At 49.4% G+C, this 22,292-nt stretch overlaps 1 annotated feature.

The window, feature by feature from the left end:
- Window positions 1,246-1,295: a silencer, noted in NCBI's record as "silent region_11416". NCBI's record gives its function as "represses an Ori minimal core promoter by ATAC-STARR-seq in GM12878 lymphoblastoid cells {active_cell/tissue: GM12878}" and the evidence as "EXISTENCE:reporter gene assay evidence [ECO:0000049][PMID:35858748]".

A 22,292-nucleotide genomic window follows, 5' to 3' on the forward strand; every position in this document is an offset into this window, starting at 1 on the left:
GCAGGAGCTCAATGTTTCTCCCTGATGCTTGGGGCAGGGCACTTGTGATAGGGCAGGGGAGGTACATCTCCCTGTCATTAACAGGAACAGGAGCCTGAGGCATGGGGATCTTCAGTCAGGCTCTCTGAGGTCTTCCAGCCTCCAACCCCTGGGCTAGGAGCCTTGTGTAGCAATCTTCCTGTTGCTACCATGGAGACCTGAGCCCCAGGTCAGCCCTGGGAAGGGTTGGGTGCATTCCTGGCCATAGGGATGGTGCATTTCATTCAGGCTGTCCAGATGTTTATGTCCCCCCCAAATTAATATGTTGAAATCTTCACCCCTAAAGTGATGAAGGTAGGAGTCGGGCCTTTGGGAGGTGATTAGGTCCTGGGGGTGGAGCCCTCATGAATAGGATTAGTGCCCTTATATTATGCCCTGAGACAGACCCCTAACCCCTTCTGCCATGTGAGGTTAGAGTAAGAAGTCACCATTTATGAGGAGATCGCCCTCACCAGACACTGAATCTGCCGGCCCCGTGATCTTGGACTTCCAGCCTCCAGAACTGTGAGAAACAAATGTCTGCAGTTTACAAGCCATCCAGTCTATGATATTAAATGTCTGCTGTTTATAAGCCATCCAGTCCATGATATTTTGTTATCGTAGCCTAAATGGACTCAGATATCAGATATATTTCTGTATAGCTTGGGGGAAGGAAGAGTTCCTCCTCTCACATCCCCTTCTGTGGGCTGGACTATGTTGAGAAAACCTCCACGTTTCCAGCACCTCTCACCATCTCCCTGCACCCCTTTAGAGGAAACCCCTTCCTGGGCCTTCAGGGCATGGCTGGGCATGCTCCCAGCACACTTCATGTTTGCTTCCAACCTAAGAAAGGCCAGGCTTCCCAGCTGGGAGCTCTTTTCCCTCCCCACCTCCCCCTTTCTTGTCTGTCTGCCTCCCTTTCACACTCCCCTATCTCCATCCCCTCAAACCCAAGAGTTTCCACAGTGACAACATGTGGGCCCCAAATCAAACCCCTGTCCACAGGTCCTGCCTGTGTCCCTCCTCCTCCTCCTCTAGCTCCCCAGCCTGGCCACCCTTGTCAGCCCCACCCTCACTCCCACACCCCCACCATTCCTCCTTGTGGACAACTTTCTAAATGCAGCCACACTTCCCCTTTTGAGCCACAGGGCCTATAAAACAGCTGCAGACAGTCAGCGGCACTGCAAAAGTCCTCTTGCCAAGTTTGGCTGAGACCAATACCCTCTAACTCTAGCCATTGCTTCCCCACTACCAGGCACTGAGAGAACAGGCTCCTTTTCGAGTAAACAGTGGGGAGACATCATGTTCCCAACATTCTAAACTAAAGAGGACTCACTGAGGGGCCCAGCCAGTGGGAGGAGGCAGCCCAAAGCCTAGCCTGGCTTCCCACACCCCCAACCCTGCCAGTGCCCTGTGAGACCCTGACTACTCCACCCCCTCCAGTCTTCTGTTTTGCAGGATGAGGGGTAGCTTGGTTGGTTTCCTGGCCCTTTCTGAGTCTAAAACTCCACAAATCTGTCACTTCTCCTTAGGGTGCTCCTGCCCAGTGCCTGGAGAGGGAAGGGGCTTTGCTGAGAGACATGCTGCCACCTGAGGGTTGTCCAGACACGAACTCAGTCCCCCACCTGCCTTCTGTGCTCTTTCTGCAACACTCTGGCCTCAGTGAAACAGTAGCTCTCAGTCCTGGCCACATAGCAGAATCACCCAGGGAGATTTTACAACATCTCAATCCCCAGCCACACTCCAGACCCATGAAATCTGAATCGTGGGTTGGGGCCTGGAAATCAGTCTGTTTGGAAAGTTACCCAGGTGATTCTGCTAAGCGGTCAGGGTTGAGAACCACGGTGGGAAAGGCTTCCAGGAAGTAAAGATGAAGCTATAAGCCAGAGGTGATACATTTCCGTCCCACATTCTCCGCTGAGAAGGATCTTGAGGCTGGTAGGAAGAGATCTGGGATGAACTAGGCATGTCTGTCAGGGATGGGTAGGGAGTGGCTGTGGCCTGAACTAGGTATTTGTCCTCGGGCTTTGGTGGCTCAGAGGTCCTGCCCTGAGGATGCAGGAGAGGACCAGCCTCCAGGCACTGGCTCATTGGCCGGCTTGCTTCCTCCCAAACCTCCCACCTCCCAAGTCTCATTATGGCCCTTGAAGTCAGACAGCCCCAGGGCTACCGTCCAGGAACTGGAAACCAACCTCAGCCAGAGCCAAGAGGCCCCAGGTCAGCCCCAGCCCTCCAAGGGCTTTGTGTAGATTGAAAAAAGGAAAATAGAGAAGGGAAACCAAAGCAGGGCAGAATGCAGTGAAGGAGAAAAAGACAAGAGAAAGGGGAAGGACCCTGAGGTCAGAGAGTCATGTGAATGGCATTTAGGGAACAAAACCTGGCTCCTCTCCATCCATCATCCCCTGGGCCGGGAGAGAAGCACTCTTCTGCCAGGGTCCAGGGCACAGAGATCCAGGCCAGAAAATCCAGATCCAGAAATCTGCCCAACCATGTGTCTGTGAGCACCATGCAGAGCCAACAGAGGAGCCTCCTCGCACAGACACCCTCAGATCCCCACCTCTTCTTCTCACCAGAGCCACAGCCTCCTGTTGGACATTTAAGCGAAATCACTTGGTCATTCCTCAACCAAAAAAAAAAAAGAAAAAAAAAAACACATTAAATCCAGTTCCCAAGACACTTGGCATCACATCAGGGTGACCTGGGTGATGCTGCTGTCGAGCTGCATGACCTGGAGTGAGCCACCTCCCTTCCCTGCCCGGGCCTCAGGGCCTGACCTTGCCTGCCTGCCTGCGAAGTCATATTTGAATGGAAGGGACACTGCTGTAGCCCAGGGGTCAAGAGCCTGGGCTCTGGAGACAGAGGCCTGGACCTGGCTCACCACTTACTAGCTGTGTGAGCATGGGCAGCTATGGCTGTGAACTTCTGCTTCCTCATCTGTAAGGCAAGAGTTAGCAGACTGATGACAGAAAAGGAGAAGAAAACACAGGCCACACCAATGTGGGACTCATATTTAGAAAACACAAGGACTGGCCAGGTACGGTGGCTCATGCCCTGTAATCCAAGCACTTTGGGAGGCCGAGGTGGGTGGATCACCTGAGGTCAGGAATTCAAGACCAGCCTGACTAACATGGAGAAACCCCGTCTCTACTAAAAATATATAAATTAGCCAGGTGTGGTGGCGGGAGCCTGTAATCCCAGCTACTCAGGAGGCTGAGGCATGAGAATTGCTTGAACCCAGTGGGTGGAGGTTGCAATGAGCCGAGATCACACCACTGCACTCCAGCCTGGGTGACAGAGTGAGACTCCATCTCAAAAAAAGAAAAGAAAAGAAAACACAAGGACTGCTCTTTGCAGATCCAAAGAAGATGGCAACTCCAATAGAAAAGTGGGCAAAGGATATGAATGGGGCAGTGAACAGAGCTGCAAGGATGTGTGCAAACAGGAGGACACACAGCAGATGCATCAGAGAGGCTTCTATTGGGAGAGGAGGGGAGTGAGGAAGGGGACAAGGGGATAGTGGTTCTCAGCCTGAGATGATTCTGCTCCCTTTCCCCAGGGGACATTTGGCAATATCCAGAGACATTTTTGGTTGTTACAGTGGAGGTGTGGGGGTGGGTAATATTGGCATGTAGTAGAGAGGCCAAGGATGCTGCCAAACATCCTACAATGTACAGGACAGCCTGCATAAAAGGAATGATCTGACTTGATATGTCAATAGTGCGGCCAATGAGAAACTCTGGGCAAAGTAAGTGGATAAGCAGACAAATGGGCCAGATGTGGTAGCTCATGCCTGTCATTCCAGCATTTTGGGAGACTGAGGAAGGAGGACCACTTGAGCTCAGGAGTTAGAGACCAGCTTGGGTAACATAGTGAGACCCCATCTCTACAAAAATATTTAAAAATTAGCCAGGCATGGTGTCATGCTCCTGTAGTCCCAGCTATGGGAGGCTGAGGTAGAAGGATAGCTTGAGCCCAGGAGTTCAAGGCTGCAGTGAGCTATGATCACACCACTGCACTCCAGCCTGGGTGACAGAGCAGGACCCTGTCTCAAACAAACAAACAAATAGATGCAGGGGCCTTGTACAAACAAATAATGAACATGTACCATGAGCTGAAGCACAGGACAAACTTAAATAAGTAAAATTAAATGGCAATAATAATGGTTCCTAAGTGGCACACAGTAGAGTTTTCAAGTAGTATTTGCTGCTCTATTGCTACTCTTTCGTTGAGGATCTGAACTGCTTGACCCTCTTCTGTTTGTTCCAGCAGCAAATTGTGGGCCTCGGTCCAGAGAGACTCCTGTCTTGCCCAGAGATGGAGGAGCAGTCACAGTGGGCAGCCCATCTCAAACCCCTGCACCAGTGGCCACATGAAGGGAAGGAGCAAAACATGGTTTAAAAAAAAAAAAAAGAAATGGGTAGGAGTGACTGAGTTGGGAGAGAAGAGGAAGAGAAAGGAGACACTGCAAGTTTCAATGTTTCACAACATTACAAAAATACCCCCCAAAGCCTGGGGGCCATGGGGAGAAGTGCAAATTGAGCAATGACTGCGGTTCTCTTTTCAAATTCATGGAAAATCCTCTTTTCACACCCCCTGGGTCAGTGAAGCCAGACCCTTCAGCATCACCACAGTGGCCTAGAAAGGGACACTTGTCCTGTCACCACCAGGCCCTACACCATCTCTCCCCTTGGCTGCCTCCTCCTTCTCTCACTCACCCAGACCAATTCTTCATTCCTCTTTTGTTTTCAGGATGAGGATGATTTTATTTACTTACTCCCACTCCGGTCCCACTAAAGCCCTGAAGCAATTGACAAGATACATACAAAATAATAATTATAATCTCATCTGTTAGAAACCAGCACCTGGAAAGTAATCATCTCCTTTAAAAACAGCCCAAGAGAACCTCTAAGATTCCTTTTTTTTTTTTGAGACAGAGTCTCGCTCTGTCGCCCAGGCTGGAGTGCAGTGGCACGGTCTCGGCTCACTGCAAGCTCCGCCTCCTGGGTTCACACCATTCTCCTGCCTCAGCCTTCCAAGTAGCTGGGACTACAGGCACCTGCCACCATGCCTGGCTAATTTTTTTGTATTTTTTTAGTAGAGACAGGGTTTCACCATGTTAGCCAGGATGGTCTCGATCTCCTGACCTCGTGATCCGCCCACCTCGGCCTCCCAAAGTGCTGAGATTATACGCATGAGCCACCGTGCCCAGCCTACTAGAGCCTCTAAGATTCTTAAGGATGAGTGCCCAATTTGGCTCAGAGCTTCCCAGCAACCCAAGTAAAGTGGGAATTGGGATTAGTTTCATGAATCACATTGCCCATAAGTCAGAAGCCCCCTAATTCCTCTGAAGATGCAGAATTTTGCTGGAAACTGGAGCCTAAAATATATTCATTCCACTCACAGGCCTTACAGAGAACACTAGCTGAAGCAGCAACATCCCAAAATAAACATAATGGCCAGACCCCTTCAGCCAATTTCCTTCAAGTCTCCATCATAAGGGAGGGACGTAGTAGAGATTGTGTGGAGACTAAATACTGTGCTCCAAGAACGACTCAGCTTCGTGAGAGTCTGACTTCGTTCAGGGATAAGTCCCATCTGGAAGAATGGATGGAATGCATGACCTTTAAATAACCCCCATGAACTTTATTTCTCTCAACTGAGCTTTTGATAAAAGTCGGGCAGCGGGAGGCAGTTGGAGGTTGTAACCGCTGACAAGGGTCTGGCAGGCAGCACTTGCACTGGGTGAGGGTGGAGCCGTGGGTCCCTGGCACCTGCAGAGGCATCATTCATGGATTCAGCTATTCACAGACTCCCCCGAAGACCCAGAACAAGCAGGGCTTTCGTATTTTGCCCTGGCCTGAAGTGGACTGGGCTGAGAGGCTGGTAGAAGTAGGAACAAGCCTCAGAGCTGGCTGGGGACATTGGCCTGCGCCCAGCACTGAAAGCCCCCACAAGCAGCTTTGGGTTTTCTTTTTTCTTTTCTTTTTTTGGGGAATTTTTGTTCTCTTTTTTTTTTTTTTTTTTTTTTTTTGAGACAGGGTCTCACTCTGTTGCCCAGGCTGGAGTGCAGTGGAGCAATCTTCATTCATTGCAACCTCTGCCTCCTAGGCTTAAGCAATCCTCCCACCTCAGCCTCCCAAGTAGCTGGGACTACAAGTGTATGCTACCATGCCCGGCTAATTTTTGTATTTTTTTTTGCAGAGATAGAGTTTCACCATGTTGCCCAGGCTGGTCTCAAACTCCTGGGCTCAAGCAATCTGCCCTCCTCAGCCTCCCAAATTGCTGGGATTACAGGCATGAGCCACCACACCCAGTAGGGTTTTCATTAAGTGTAATAATAGTTCTTATTTATTGTGGGTCCAGACATTATGTTACTACCTCAATGAGGCTTCACAACCAAGCTACTAGGTAGATACTGCAATTGTCTTCGTTTTACAGATGAGTAAACTGACACTCAGAGGACTTTGCCAGACATAACACAGCCAGTAAGAGCAGAAGCCGCAATGCCCACTCAAATCTGTCCAGTTCCAAAGTTCACACACTTTTTTTTTTTCTTGAGATGGAGTCTCGCTCTGTCGCCCAGGCTGGAGTGCAGTGGCACAATCTCAGCTCACTGCAACCTCCACCTCCTGGGTTCAAGGAATTCTCCCGCCTCAGCCTCCCAAGTAGCTGAGATTACAGGTGCGCACCACCACACCTGGCTAATTTTTGTATTTTTAGTAGAGATGGGGTTTCGCCATGTTGGCCAGGCTGGTCTTGAACTCCCGACCTCAGGAAAGCTGCCCACCATGGCCTCTCAAAGTGCTGAGATTACATGCCTGGCCAGTTCACACACTTTTAACAACTACACTGTAAGACCCTGCCACACAGAAAGAGAGATAAAACCTGTGGGAAAAGTGAAAAGGCAGTTAATTTGTGGCATGAGAGCACAGGAGACATATAACTCTCAAGAAAACACCATTCGAGAGAAAGCCAGAAGCCCACACCAACATTTTGCATTCAAGACTGTGGGGCTTATGGAAGGCCAGTGGACAGAGCCCTCCCAAACATCGAGAGCCTGCTGGATCGTAAATATCAGTTGCACCCAAGTTTCTGCAAAAGTCAGAGGGCAAGAGGTGTTGCAGGGAAGGGCCCAGGTTAAACAAAGGCTGCACATTGTGGGTGATGGACACTCCACAACCAAGCTCAAGACACTCCTGTGGGTCCCTCCTGACATCAATGAGTGAGCAATGCAGAGCCCAACACTCCCTGCCTGAGCACAGGCCAAGCTGATTTGGGCCAGGGATACCTGCTGGGCACAGCCATATGTGCCCCCGTCACTTCCCCAGGAAACCAGCAGGCAGGCGTTATCAGGGACAAAACAGAACCCAGGAACTTGTCCACTGTTGAGCTCCTGAGCACTTCACAGCAGGGCCGGGAAGAATGGATGGACTGTGACTCTCTGGTACTCAAGACACTGAAGCCTGGCCAGGCGCAGTGGCTCATGCCTATAATTCCAACACTTTGGGAGGCTGAGGTGGGTGGATCACTTGAGGTCAGGAGTTCGAGACCAGCCTGGCCAACATGATGAAACCCCGTCTCTACTAAAAATACAAAAATTAGCCTGATGTGGTGGTGCGTGCCTGTAATCCCAGCTACTCGGGAGGCTGAGGCAGGGGAATTCCTTGAACCCAGGAGGCGGAGGTTGCAGTGAGCCGAGATCACACCACTGCACTCCAGCCTGGGTGACAGAGTGAGACTCCATCTCAAAAAAAAAAAAAAAAAAAGACAATGAAGCCCCATCTCCTTTGATTGGATACACAGGACAGTTCCTTTAGAAGAGGGACAGGAGTGTCCGAGCCACAGGAAAGCTTTTCTCATCATGAGCAATACACCCAGGCTCAGCCCCAGGAAATCTGATGACTCAGGACACAGACATGTTTAACCAGGTGCTAGGGATAAGCTGTGCCTGAGCCCACTGTAAGGGTAAGGCCCATTCTCTGCCCTCATGGGGCTTACAGTCTATAAAACGGCACAGAGGTAGAAACACTTCAGTGTGTCTTCACAAGTCACTCCTAGAAAACCAAGAAAGGTACAGGAGGAAAGAGGGAGGTACCTACCAAATAGATGCAGAAGCTAACCACTTCTTCTCTCTTACCCACTGCTACTACCATCATCTCTGGCCTGGATGAAGGCAAAGGGTCCAGAACACAGCACCCCTGCTCCTACTACAGGGACTTGGCGCCTGTTGTTCCCTCTGCCCTTCCTGAAGTATCCTCATGTTTTAGCATCTTCATGTCTTTGCTCAAATATCCCTTCTCAATGAGGCCACCCAAGTAAAGTTCACAACAATGCCCCTCTCTCTGGCAGTCCACAAACATGTAATTATGTGCAATACAAGAGGCTTTGCTCACTGGCTCTGCACAGCCCACTCTCTTCAGAAACTTAGGACAAATTCCCCATTGGCCTTGGCCAGAGGCTATTTCTGTGGCTCACAAAAGTGTACCCAGAAGGAGCCTTCCTGCCACCCATTCAGCCAGTGCATGGGATCAAGCTTGGTTCCTTCAGCTTGCTTACCCCAAGGCTGGTCCTGTCCCCTCCTGGAGAAATCCCAGCAGAGCCTGGACAGCCTTTCTGTCCCCTCTCCTCCACCTTGACCAAAAGGCCTAGTCCCAGATGGACCCTGGGAGCCTGGCCTGGAGCAGTTCAAGTTCCTGTCCAGGAAGATATGTCTCTCTTTACCAGGCTCCAGAATGTAATATTTAGGATGTAGAAATCAGCTCTGACCTGTTACAGCAGGACTGAGAAGCTTATCACCAAAACTCCCTTTCCCTTCTCCCTAGGCACCCATCTAGACTACAGTTCCAGCTCCCTTGCTATCCAGGGTGGCCAGTGGAGTGTGAGCAGAAACAATGTGTCTCGCTTCTGGCCTAAGGATGTTAGGCAGATGTGCCTCATCCACCTCTCTTTCCCCCGCTGCCTGACCTCATGGCCTAGAGACAGCAGAGCCATAAGGTGGAAGGAGCCTGGGTGCCTGAATCTCCACTCAGAGGAAGGCTGCCTGCCAATCACAGCATCTGAGCCTTTATGTGAGTGAAAAAAGAAACTTTGTGAGCAGCCCACATTTGGGAAATTGGCTACGACATGAATTTGGTGCTTAAAATTAAATTTCACCCTGCTCACTCCAACACTGCTCTGTCCCCTCCCCTAATTGCATTTCTCACCTGAACAATGTTCCCTCCTCCCCACCCATACCAGACCTCCAGTGAAGGCTGAGCAACTTATGGATGAATAATTTCTGCTCTTAGGCTCTGTGAGCTGATGTTGAAGGCAGACTGGCAGGGAGGGAAGGCTCCTCCCACCACCTGCCTATAAGCCTGGTTTCAAAGTATGTGGATTTGGGCAAGATTCCAATCTTGCAGACTCAGCTTCCTCAACCTTAAAAATGGAACAATAGCATCTGCCCAGGCTACTTCACAGAGGAAAAGATCAGGAAGCTTGATATGCAGGAGCAGCTGCTCTGAGCAGATCCTCTACAAATATCATCTCACATCACTTATCTCAGATGGGCAAACTGAAGCATATAGGGGCTTAAAAGTAACCTGTCCAAGTTCATGCAATTGGTAAGTAGTGGCCCCCAGCCCTAACTTGGTCTTCCCCATCATCTCTCTATAATCAGATGGCACCACCACCCACCTGGCTACTCAACCCAGAAACCTCAGGTCATCCCTGCTCCTCTCTTGTCCTCACCTCCTATAGACAATTGGGCACCAAAGTCCGGTTTTTTGCCTTAATAAATCATTCTCCAATCTTGCCCTTTCCTCCATGTCTGTTGCCACCACCCTAGTCCAAGGCCCCCGCATGCCTCTCCTGAATCCTGCAGGAGCATCCTTGCCAGTCCCCATGCTAGTCTTCTTCCACTCCACCACGCTCACCCCCATGGCAGCCTCGAGCACCTTTTTGGAAATGCAAATCTAGCCATGCCAACTCCCAGGTTAAGCCAGCTCAATGGCTTCCCACTGCTCTTATGACAAAGACCTGGGCATGGTCTGCCCGGCCTGTGCCATCCAGCCTCTTCTCGAGCCCCTCCCACTCTGCTCCTCCTCTCTCCGTTTCAGTCATGGCAGCCTTCTTCCAGTCCCCTGAACACCCACCAGCTTCCTCCTTGGTAGAAGCATTCTTTGCACATGCTGTTTCTTCTGCATGGAACACCCTTCCTCCCCATCTTCACCTGGTTGACTCCTAATCACCCTTTTTGTATCTCAGGTCTGGTGTCACTTCTTCAAAAACTTTTCCCTGACCTCTTGACTAGGAGACATCCTCCTAGAGCACTCATTGCTGCTATTATTTTATGTCTCTTCGAGTAATTATTTGAGGAATATGTCTCCCTTACATGATTTTAAGCTCCTTCAGGACGAGAACCATGTGCATTTTGCTCACCATTGAAACCCAGTGGATGTGGAAATCAGTAGACACAGTGTCCAGCACATAGCAGAACTTGAATATTGGCTGAATGAATGAATCAGTGAAAGCTAGAATTGAAATCTAAGTCTTCATGACTCCTCTGCAAATTGCTGTGGGGAATTGTATTTGTCTGCTTGGGCTGCCGTAACAAAATAGCACAGATTGAGTGGCTTAAACAGGAATTTGTTTTCTCACACTTCTGGAGGCTGGAAGTCCAAGATCAAAATGCCAGCACGGGGCTACATATGGTGGCTCATGCCTGTAATCACAGCACTTTGGGAGGCTGAGGCAGGTGGATCACTTGAGTTTAGGAGTTCAAGACCAGCCTGGGCAACAGGTGAAACCCCCATCTCTACCAAAAAATACAAAAAAATTAGCCAGGTGTGGTGGGCACCTGTAATTCCAGCTACTCGGGAGGCTGAGGAAGGAGAATCACTTAAACCCAGGAGGCAGAGGTTGCAGTGAGCTGAGTTCACACCACTGCACTCCAAACCCGGGGACAGAGTAAGACTCTGTCTCAAAAAAAAAAAAAAGAAAATGCCAGCAGAGTTGGTTTCTGATAAGGCCTCTCTCCTTGAATTGCTCCTTCTCACTGTGCCCTCTCACAGTCTCTTCCCTCGGGGCATGCATGCAGAGAGGAGGGCTGTGGCGCTTCCTCCTTTTCTATAAGGACACCAATTTATCAGATTAGGACCCCACACTGAGAACCTCATTTAACCTTTTTTGTTTGTTTGTTTTGTTTGTTTTTGAGATGAAGTCTCACTCTGTCATCCAGGCTGGAGTGCAGTGGCGCCATCTCACCTCACTGCAACCTTTGCCTCCCGGGCTCAAGAGATTCTCCCACCTCAGCCTCTTGAATAGCTGGGACCATGGGCAAGCCCCACCACACCCGGCTAATTTTTGTATTTTTAGTAGAAACAGGGTTTAGCCATGTTGGCCAGGCTGGTCTCGAACCCTTGACCTCAAGTGATCTGCCTGCCGCCTCCCAAAGTGCTGGGATTACAGGCATGAGCCACCACACTCAGCCTCATTTAACCTTAATTACTTCCTCAAAGGCCTTATCACCAAATAGGGTCACACTGGGAGTCAGAGCTTTCACATGTGAATCTGGTGGGGAGATACAATTTACTCCAAGACATTCCATCCTCTGGCCCCATAAAATTCATGTTCTTCTCTCATGCAAAATTCATTCAGCCCATCCCAGCAACCCCAGACGTTTTAACCCATTCCAACATCAATTCCAAGTCCAAAGTCTCACTGAATATCTAAACCAGGTATGGGTGAGACTTGAGGTATGTTTCATCCTGAGGCAAAATTCTCTCCAGCTGTGAACCTATGAAACCAGACAAGCTTATGTGCTTCCAAAATACGATGGTGGGGAGGCATAGAATAGACATCCTTATTCCAAAAGGGAGAAATTGGAAAGAAGAAAGGGGCAATGGATCCCAAACAAATCCAAAACCTAGCAAGGAAAATTCCATTAGATCTGCAATCCATTAGGCTGTAGTCCCAGCACTTTGGGAGGCCAAGGCAGAAGGATTACTTGAGCTCAGGAGTCCAAGACCATCCTGGGCAACATGGCGAAACTCTGTCTCTACAAAAAATACAAAAATTAGCCAGGTATGGTGGTGCATGCCTGTATTCCCAGCTACTCGGGGGTAGGGGTGCTGAGGCAGGAGGATTGCTTGAGCCCAGAAGGTCAAGGTTGCAGTTAGCCATGATCACACCACTGCATCCTAGCCTGGGTGACAGAAGGAGACCCTGTCTCAAAAAAACAAAAAATAATGAATAATCCTCTTTGGCTGAATGCTGTGCCCACTGGGGCAGCTTCATCACCCCCACCACCCTAGGTGGTAGATCCCATTCTGCAGCTCTGCTAGTCACCTTGCCCCTGAGGCACTGGGCAACATTTCGGCCCACTGAAACCAAGAAGGTGGCCCCGCTCTCTGAAAGCAGGAAAAAACAACCAAGCCCCTGGGCCTGGGGTGTGAATGGCAGCCCTGATAATCTCCAAATTGTCTTCAGGGGTCATTCTTCCCTTTTCTTGAAGGATAACGTATGTTCAAAGCTGGATAACTCTATTGTCCTGTCCTGTAGAATCCCAGAAGTCCAACAGCCTTCTTTCATTCTGTTCCATTTTCTCTGTTTTCTTTAGTCCCAGCTGGAAGTGTTTCTGCTAATATAATCCCATCTCTATTCCTGGCTTCAACTGAGATGGTTGATTAAGTTCGTGGGAATCTTTTTATGGAGTGATTGTCCAGACAGGCCTTTGGTATTTGCACCAAGCAGAGAAACGTGTTTTCTCTCTTTTTGAAATATGGACAGGCTGAGCATTTCCAAATCTTTAAATTCTGGTTCCTTTTTGCATAACAATTCCTTCAACTTATCTCTTTCCTCTTGCATTTTATTATAAGCAGTAAGGAGAAACCAGGCTACACTTTCACCACTTTGCTTAGAAATCTCCTGTGCTAAATATCCAAGGTCATCACTCCCAAGTTTTACCTTGACTGAACACAATTCAGCCAAGTTCTTTACTACTTTATAACAAGGATTGCCTTTTTACCAGTTTCCAACATCATGCTCCTCATTTCTGAGACCTTACCATAAGTACATTTAATGTTCATATTTCTACCAACATTCTGTTTATGATGATATATGTATTCTCTTAGATGATAGAAACTTTTTCTACAACTCTTTCCTTTCTGAGCCTTCACCAGAATCACGTTTAATGTTTGTATTTCTACCAACAGTCTCTTCAAGGCATTCTAGGCTTTTTCTAACATGCACCTCAAAACTCTTCAGTCTTTGCCCATTACCTAATTCCAAAGCCACTTCCACATTTTTAGGTATTTGTTATAGTAGCATCCACTCTTGGTAGCAAAATCTATATTAGTCAGGGTTCTCTGGAGAAACAGAACCTATAGGAGATATATACATCTCCTATGTATACATAGATGGTCCCCAACTTATGATGGTTCAGAATTATGATGTTTTTCACTTCATGATAGTGCAAAAGCAATACACATTCAGTAGAAACCATTCTTCAAATTTTCAGTTTGGATCTTTTCCTGGGCTAGCGGTATGTGGTATGATATTCTCTCATGATGCTGGGCAGCAGCAGTGAGCTGCAGCTCCCAGTCAGTCATACAATTATGAGGTTAAATAACTGATATTCTACAGTTTACTGTATTGCCCGATGATTTTTGCCCAACTGTAGGCTAATGTAAGTGTTCCGAGCACATTTACATTAGGCAGGCCAAGCTGTGATGTTTGGTAGGTTAGGTGTATTCAGTACATTTTTGACTTATGATATTTTCAACTTACGATGGGTTTACTGAGATATATCCCCATCATAAGTCAAGGAACATGTGTGTGTGTGTGTGTGTGTGAGAGAGAGAGAGAGAGAGAGAGAGAGAGTATGAGGTATTGGTTCAAGCAATTATGGAGGGTGGCAAGTTCAAAATCGGTAGAGCCAATGTCCCAGTTTCCATGTGAAGGCCAGCAGGCTACTGCAGAATCAGGAAGAGCTGATGTTCCAATTTTAGGTTTGTCAGGCAGAATTCTCTTTTATTTAGGGCAGGGTCAACCTTTTGTTCTATTTAAACTTTCAACTGATTGGATGAGGCCCACCTGCATCATGGAGGGCAATCTGCTTTACTTAGTCTACAGATTTAAATGTTAATCCCATTCAAAAACACCCTCATAAAACACCCAGAATAATGTTTGACCAAATATCTGGACACTTCATGAACCAGTCAAGTTGACACATAAGATTAACCATCATAGGAATCATACCAGAAGATAGATGTGATCAAGGCTTAATGAGTATCCAAGACCAATGTAAGAGATTAGCACCAGGGCTAGAATTGTGATTTGCCATTCAGTCATTTCATACACATTTACTACACACATATTACTAGTATCTCAGTTATCTATTGCTGTGTAACAAATCACACCAAAATGTAGTGGCTTAAAACAGCAATGATTTATTATTTCTCATGATTTTGCGGATCAGGAATTTGGGTAGGGCTCAGCTGGTTGGTTCTTCTGCTCCAGGTGGCATCTTAGTGCCACTTATTCAACTGAGTTAGCCTAGAAAGTCCAAAATGGCTGCACTAAAATATCTGATGCCTTAGCTCCTCCACATGGCCTCTCTGTCTCCATGTGCTGTCTCATCATTCATGAATCTACCCACACTTCTTTTCAGCTAGGTGGCTAGATTCCTTGAGAGCATTCCAATAGAACAAGCCGCAAGAGGAGAAGCAAGTGCTTATTAGATCTATACTTGCATCATGCTTATCAATGTTACATTGTCCACAGCAAGTTACATGCTCAAGCCCGTGAGGGGAAGACAACGATACAAGGGCATGAATGCCAAAAGATATTATTCACTGGGAGCCACCAATATAACAGTTCACCCCAAGATATGAGGGGACACTACTCCTGACTCTTGTCCTCAAGTATCTCACAGACCAGTACAGCACTTCTGAAATGTGTTAGAGATCACAGAATTCTCAACATCATTCATGCATTCAGCAAGCCCTAATATGAATTCCTGACATCTGATAAAGTGTCCCATTTTGTAAAGGCAGATTATCATATGATGATAAGTGTAGTCACATATTTATACTTTTCATACATATATTAATACATTTTTTAACATAATTTTTTGAGATGGAGTCTCGCTCTGTCACCCAGGCTGGAGTGCAGTGGCATGATCTCGGCTCACTGCAAGCTCTGCCTCCCGGGTTCACGCCATTCTCCTGCCTCAGCCTCCAGAGTAGCTGGGACTACAGGGGCCTGCCACCACGCCCGGCTAATTTTTTGTATTTTTAGTAGAGACGGGGTTTCACCGTGTTAGGCAGGATGGTCTTGATCTCCTGACCTCGTGATCTGCCCGCCTCGACCTCCCAAAGTGCTGGGATTATAGGCGTGAGCCACTGCGCCCGGCCTCAACATAAATTTTAAACTAAAAATGTTACTAGTTTTGGCCAAGCACAGCAACTCACACCTATAATCTCAGCACTTTGGGAGGCCAAGTCAGGAGGATTGCTTTTAGCTCAGGAGTTTGAGACCAGCCTGGGCAACATAGTGAGACCCCGTCTCTACAAAAAAATATAAAAATTAGCCAGGCATGGTGGCATGCACCTGTAGTCCTAACTACTCAGGAGGATGAGGTGGGAGGATCACTTGAGCCTAGGAGGTCAAGGTTGCAGTGAGCCATGATTGGGCCACTGCACTCCAGCCTGGGAGACAGAGCAAGACCCTGTCTCAAAAAGAAAAAAAAAATTACTAATTTTGTGTGTTTGTGGGAGGAGACTTTTTACATTCCATGGTACGGTAACGTTGCTCAAAAAGTTCTGGAAATGCTGGCCTGGTAGGAATTTAAAGCTTATAGAGAAGGGCTTTAGGTGTCTAGGACCATAAATGCAGGCTGCCCACAGTGGATCAGACACAGTTTGTTCCAGAGGAATGGAAAGCCCTCCTTTCTGTGGGACTGCCTGTGTCCCTTGTGTCCCTTGGCCTTGAGTGATGGGAGGTCAGGAGCATCATTGCTACACCACCTGAGGAGTGTCTGGGACAGCCCCTGTCAGTCGACTCCAACACATTCTACTGCATCAACACTGACCCTCTGTCACCTGGCGCGAAAGAATCCCATGTCTTACACACTGGGCAACACCCACCCCACTCTACCCCACCCCATCTCACTGCACTTCAGAATGATTGTGGCTATCAAGAGGCAGTTTTCAAGAGCTTAAAAGTTCTGTCCTGAAGCCCCCTCTCTGAGACACTGCATAAAGAAAGGCCCCCAACACGGACCACCTCCAGGAGCTCACTGAGAAAGCTGCCAGCCAGGGACAGGGGCTACCCAGGGTGGACTTCATGCACCAGCTGCAGTAGAATCTCCAGAAGCTGCTAGGAGATTCCAATTCATTCAGTTGGAAGGGGCCTGGGAATCTTCATTCTTAGTCTCTGCTGTGAGGATTATCACAGGTCACAGGAGGCTAGGCCCTTCCCAAATTTAGGGTTTCTAGGTGGTCGTTTCTGAAAGGTCCCCATAGACTGAGACCACTTTAGGACAGGAAGGGGCAGGTGAGGGAAACCAACCCTGAGATGTGGCCCTAGCTGATGTCCAGGCAGGATGCAGGTGACCGGCAGCCAGAGATTCAAGTCACTTCATGTGCTGAATGAGCTTTGTATTTTTCAGAGCTTTTTATTTTTATCTTACAACCTCAGAAACAACTTGTTTCCACAGGTTCTCCTCACAGAACAATCCTCTGAGATTAAATCTGTTTTGAGTTGTATTTTGAAAAAAGAGGAAATTGGATCCTGGTTCCAGATGGGATGGAAGGAGAGGAGAGAGAGGGAGTTCAGGAAGGAGGCAAAAGGCATAGATTTCCAGAATCTTCCTCATGGTTTCCTCTCACGTGCATCTCATCCTGGCACTCCTACCCATGAAGACAAAACCCAGCTCTAGCTTGAATACACCCCCCCCCACCCTTCCTGCCTCCCTCCCCCGCATTCCAAAGCTGCCCACAGCACCTCTCTGAACCAGGGCCTCTGGTCTCACCTGGTCACCAGCTCTGCCTGAGTCCTTCCCTCCAGGACCTTCTCTCCAGAATAGCCCAGATCCCCCAGTGTCTACTCACAGCTGGTTGCTCAGGAAGGACAGGGTCTGCCCACACAGCAAGGACCTTGGAGAGCAATTCTTAACCCAAGGTCTGCAGCACTGGGTCAGGCAGTGCAGGTAGGAGCATACTTAGTGTCTTTCTTGGGCCCTGTGGGCAGCCACGGAGCCCCCTACACACTGGCCCATGCCTGCAGGTTGCCCATCATTCTCCTGTCTGATTTCACCCCACTTCTGTGCATGAGTGACTCTTGCCTGAACTCTTTTCTAATCCCCTTGTGGGTTTTCCTCAAGAGCACATGCTGTTAACCTGGGGTCCACAGATGCCCCTTCTCACCCAGAGGTCTGGGAATAGAATTCAGGGGTCCATGAATGTGGGGGTTGTTTTATTCTTTTTTTCTCTTTTCTACCTTTCCTATGATGCTGCCATTCATGAGTTCAGACGGTAAAAAAAAATGCCTCCTTATTTTCACTAGGCTCCAACTGAAAGGTAGCCTCTCCTTTCAACATGGACGTAGGAAAAATCTCCAGTTGTATTTGCAGAACCTCAAGCTTTGTCACCAGCCCAGCCAAACTCACAGGCATTTTTAAATCACATCTGAGTTGTTGCAGGTCTTTTCAAATATCATTTATATTATCACCACTTTAAAGTGATCACAATTAAAGTGTCAATAAAGAAGCACACATATTACTACATCAGAGCTGTTTTCTTAATGCTTTGGTAAATGTATTTTAGTAGCATTGGTTTCTTCTGCAGCCCTGTGAATTTTGTTTTACACATTTGAAAACATTATTCTGAGAAGGGGTCCATCCATAGGCTTCACCACATGCCCATGGGGTTTATGCTACGTGAAAGGTCAAGTCCTAGAATTCTCACACTCTTCAGTAGAAAATCACACCCCTAAATGTGTCCCTCTCCACTAGTAATTATGCTTTTGGTGTTCTCCTGATTGAGAAAAAGTTTTAATAGCAACAGCCATTATGCAATGCTTGCCTTGAAACAAATGTGCATTTTATTCATTACAGTAGTATCTCCTAACATTTGAAAAACAGCAGCCACATCAGTAGGAAAGCTGTCCTAAGCCAGTCTGGTTCCCTGGCCCCACCATTCAGGTCCACTGAGTTAGACCATGTGGATCTACTAGGCAGAGGCCTTGGGCCTCAGATTGAGTAAGCCCCATGCTCCCGGCACGAGGCTGAGCCCCAGGAATCACTCAACAGGCATGAGCTGACTGGAGCTGCCCTGAATTTGCTGGCCAGGGTGGAACATGGCCGGCTGGGTCTCCTTACTTCTCCCCCAGCCTCTTAGCCCATTTGGCGCTAAGTTGCCAGACTTTGCAAATAAAAATAAGAATGCCAGGTTAAATTTGAATTTCAAACAAATAATGAATAATTTTTAGTATAAATATGTTCCATGCAATATTTATGACATACTATACTAAAAAGTTATTCATTGTTTATCAGAAACTCTATGCTCTAGGAGCCTGTTCCCAGAGAAGTCCTTGCCAGGACCAGCAGAAGCTGTGCCGAAACCCAGATTCTCTGCTGAGACTTCTACCTCTGCCCCGGGTCTGGCCGCGGAGAGACACCATTCAGGGTAGGGAGTAGGGCCAGGGAGGTGCCCAACAGCAGCCCATAGCCCCCACGGCCCACACTTCAAGCCATGCCCCACCCCTGGCTAGGTCTCAGATCCCCAGCCGTAAAATGAGAGAACTAGTCCAGGGTGGAACTCTAAACTCCATCGTGGCTCAGAATTAGATTTAATAACCCGATAGTCTTTACTGCAGGAAAGAATCTTTAACTTCCACTAGCATGAGGAGGATGTTTGCAGACCCAGAAGGCCTCCACACTCAGCCCTCCTGAAGCAGCAGGCCTGTGCTACCTCCATTCACGTCAGCCCTGGAGCCCCCTCATGCAGCAGAAGCTCCCACAAATCAGCCCACCACGGCACTGTTAGAAAGGACCCAAGGGCCAGGTACCCACACACAGCAGCAGAAACACAGATGCACTCAGCTGGGGAGCAGGGGGGCAGAGAAACCCAGAGGGGTGTCAATGCAGAGAAGCCCTCACACACACGGACCGAGAAGCATTCCTACATGGTGCACACCCGGCACACACGTGCCCTCACCCAGAGCATGCATGCATGCCCCACACAGACACACACCCAGACGGTGCAGACCACACTCCTGCACCCTCACACACTCACCACACATGATCTCACACACATTCCCCGAAAGCAACAGGAACACAGCCAATCTCAGCTGCATCCCCAGCCACCCCACATCTGTGGTCCTCATCCTGTACCCCAAATGTCCAAGGTGTTCCTGGGCTAAACCTTCTCCCAACTGCCTCTGCAAGCTGCTTGGAGGGCGGTGGGGTTGTGGGGAAAGCCAGGCAGTGCTTTGTTTTTCACATCAGGCTAAAGCAATAGATCACCTGAAAGTTGGATTCTGGAAATCAAGATGTTAACTTGAATGGTGATGATGATGACAACAGCAGCAGCAAAAGCCACACTTGCCAGCACCCACTGAGCACAATCTATGCCCCAGCAACCACGCTAAATGCTTAACATACATTCCCTCATTCAACCCTCACAACAATCCATAACGTAGGAACTGATACTTTGCTCATTTATAGATGAGGAAGCTGAGGCTCGGAGGAGTTCAATGTCTCTGTGGAGATTCCAGCATCTGACCCAGGGCCAACTCCAAAATGTAGCCTTACCTGCAGAGCCGCACGATAGGACCCAGGGATGTTTCAGCCCAGTCGCGGTGCAGCCAGTGTGCACAGGCACATGCGCGCACACACACACACACACCCCACTTGCAGAAGGGGCTGCTTGGGCAACAGTTTCCTTGTGGAAAGTGCTAAAAAGGCCTTGACTGGCAGAGAGGCTTATTCTCCTCCAAGGCCAATCCTTTCCTGGTGAGGTGTGGACCCCAGATAGAGCTCTCCCCCATAAGGCAGGTCTGTGAGATCCGGAGAGGGAGGTGCTCCAGGTCCCCTTGATAACCAGAGACCAGGTTATCTCTGAGAGGACTGAGAGGATATCAGTGGGCTCACTTTCCCCTGCCCTCTGTGTGGACCCCTGCCCCAGAGAGCCAGAGCTAGGCCCCTGGTGGCACAAGAGGTTTTCACACCAGGAGAGTGCCACCTCCGCTCTGCAGCCAAGCGCCCTGCGCCACTCGAGCCCACCCCAGGAGGGCACAGAGACAGCCCCTGAAGAGCCCTCAGAGAGGCCCGTCTCAGGGTGACCAGCCTCTGGGACATTCTTAACCCCAACCAAAGTGGGGCCACCCTGTGGAGCCTCCACCTCTGCATGGGGGCCTGGCTAACAGCTGCTCCCAGCTGGAAGTTCTTTATGCGCCCCCACCCAGTCAGTCCCCAGGAGACGTGAAGGAAGCTTTGATGGAACCTATCAAAGCATTCTTGTTCTCACAGCTGTTTCCCGGAAGGGCAATTATAGCCACAATAACCCTACACATCTGGTGAAGGGGCCCAAAGCCGGTACTCTACCCTCAGCTCTGCTGGAGGGGTCCTGCCCATCAGCAGAGGGAAAAAGGACTTGTGCACATCAGAGACTCAGTTTAGAACCCTAAACCATTAGAACTGGAAGGGGCCACCCTATCCCCATTTTACAGATGACTAAACTGAGGCCAAGCCTGTACCCAAAGAGCTCCTCACACAGAGCCCTCTTCCCCCACGGACTCCCTCTCTAGACAGACCCTGGCTCCTCCTCCTCTAGCTCAGGTGGGCCTCCACTTAGACACTACCAGCCCAAGAAAGGCCGTGGGAGGGACCTGGGACTGCGATGGTCATATGGAGGGGAGGCTCCTGCTCTGTCTCCTTCAGAGGGATGATTTGCTCCTGCCTGAGCCATTGCCTCTTCTTGGATGCTATATTTATACCTCAATCTATGAATTTATTTCAATCAGGATTTCTAACCTGGGCACTGCTGACATATTGGGCTGGGCAGTTCTTTGTTGGGGTTGGGGCTGGCCTGTGCATCGTGGGGTGTCACAGCATCCCTGACCTCCATCCACTAGATGCCAGTAGCACCGCCCCCTCCCCAAGTTGTGACAATCAAAATTATCTCTAGACATTGACGAATGTCCCCTGGGGACAAAACTGTGCCCAGTTGAAAACCACTGACTTAAATGGGCTTCAGTGAGCATGTTGAGACTGTCCCCTGGGTCTTCCCAGGGGTGCAAGGAAGAAGGTGCCATAGATCTTCCTTCCTGAGGCGTGGAGCATCTACTATGGGCAGATGGGATAAAGCAGCGTGTGTCAGGAAATCCTGCGCAAGTCTAAAGCTGGGAAAAACCACAGAGGCTGAGATCCAGCAAGGCAGGCTTCCTGGACAAGGTGAAATTCCACTGGGGACTTATGTAGGCAGTTGAGGGAGAAGGGATTTTGAGGGGAAAGTCTCAAACACAGTAAGCAGAGCCCAGGATGTGGGATGACTGGGAGAGCATCCTGGAAGGATGGCACTGCTGGCTGGATTTTAATCTGGTGTGGGGGGGGGCGGGGTGTCTGTTTGCCTCAGCTGCCTTCCTCCCAGAGCAGGTCCCTGAGCCCAGGGAGCAGGGAAGACACTGAGGAGGAAGGAGGGAAGGGGGATGGTAGGGTAGGGGATAAGGGCATGTCTGAGATCCCAGAGGGCCAGTTACGGGCTTCTCCTCCCAGAATCCCCAGCACCCAATACAGAACCAGCCTAAGGAAAAGCTGAGATGATGAAGCCACCGACTTGAAGAAAAGGTCCGACGGAGAAGAAAGGCACCTGGGATCCGGAGGGCTGGGAGCACCGCCACTGATGCCAACGGGGGCCCAGCCTGAGGGCGAGCCAGGGACCTTACCAGCCCCAGCCTGATTTCCCAGGGTCTGTCCTTGCCCGATGTCCCTCCCTCAAAGTCCATGTGGGATGGGAGCGGGGTGGGGGCAGCCCTAATCAAGGGATGGCTGCTGGACTTGGAGCTGACCACTGGCTCCCTGGCAGGCCTTAGACCTTCCGCAGAAGGATTTCAGCAGGTTCCTCAGAGCAGAATGGTATGCTCCTTGACCTCGGGAGCTCCCTTCTCAGACAAAAGCCCCGGTTCCCCACGCCCCGTCTGGGCTCCCTGAGGCCTGGCTGCACGTCCCTCCTCCGATAGGGCTCCCTGAGGGCAGGGTCCGCTCCTTCCGCGTGGTCCCTGCGGGGAAACGC

This window comes from Homo sapiens, chromosome 2 (genome assembly GCF_000001405.40).
Source record: "Homo sapiens chromosome 2, GRCh38.p14 Primary Assembly".
NCBI classification, from domain to species: domain Eukaryota; kingdom Metazoa; phylum Chordata; class Mammalia; order Primates; family Hominidae; genus Homo; species Homo sapiens.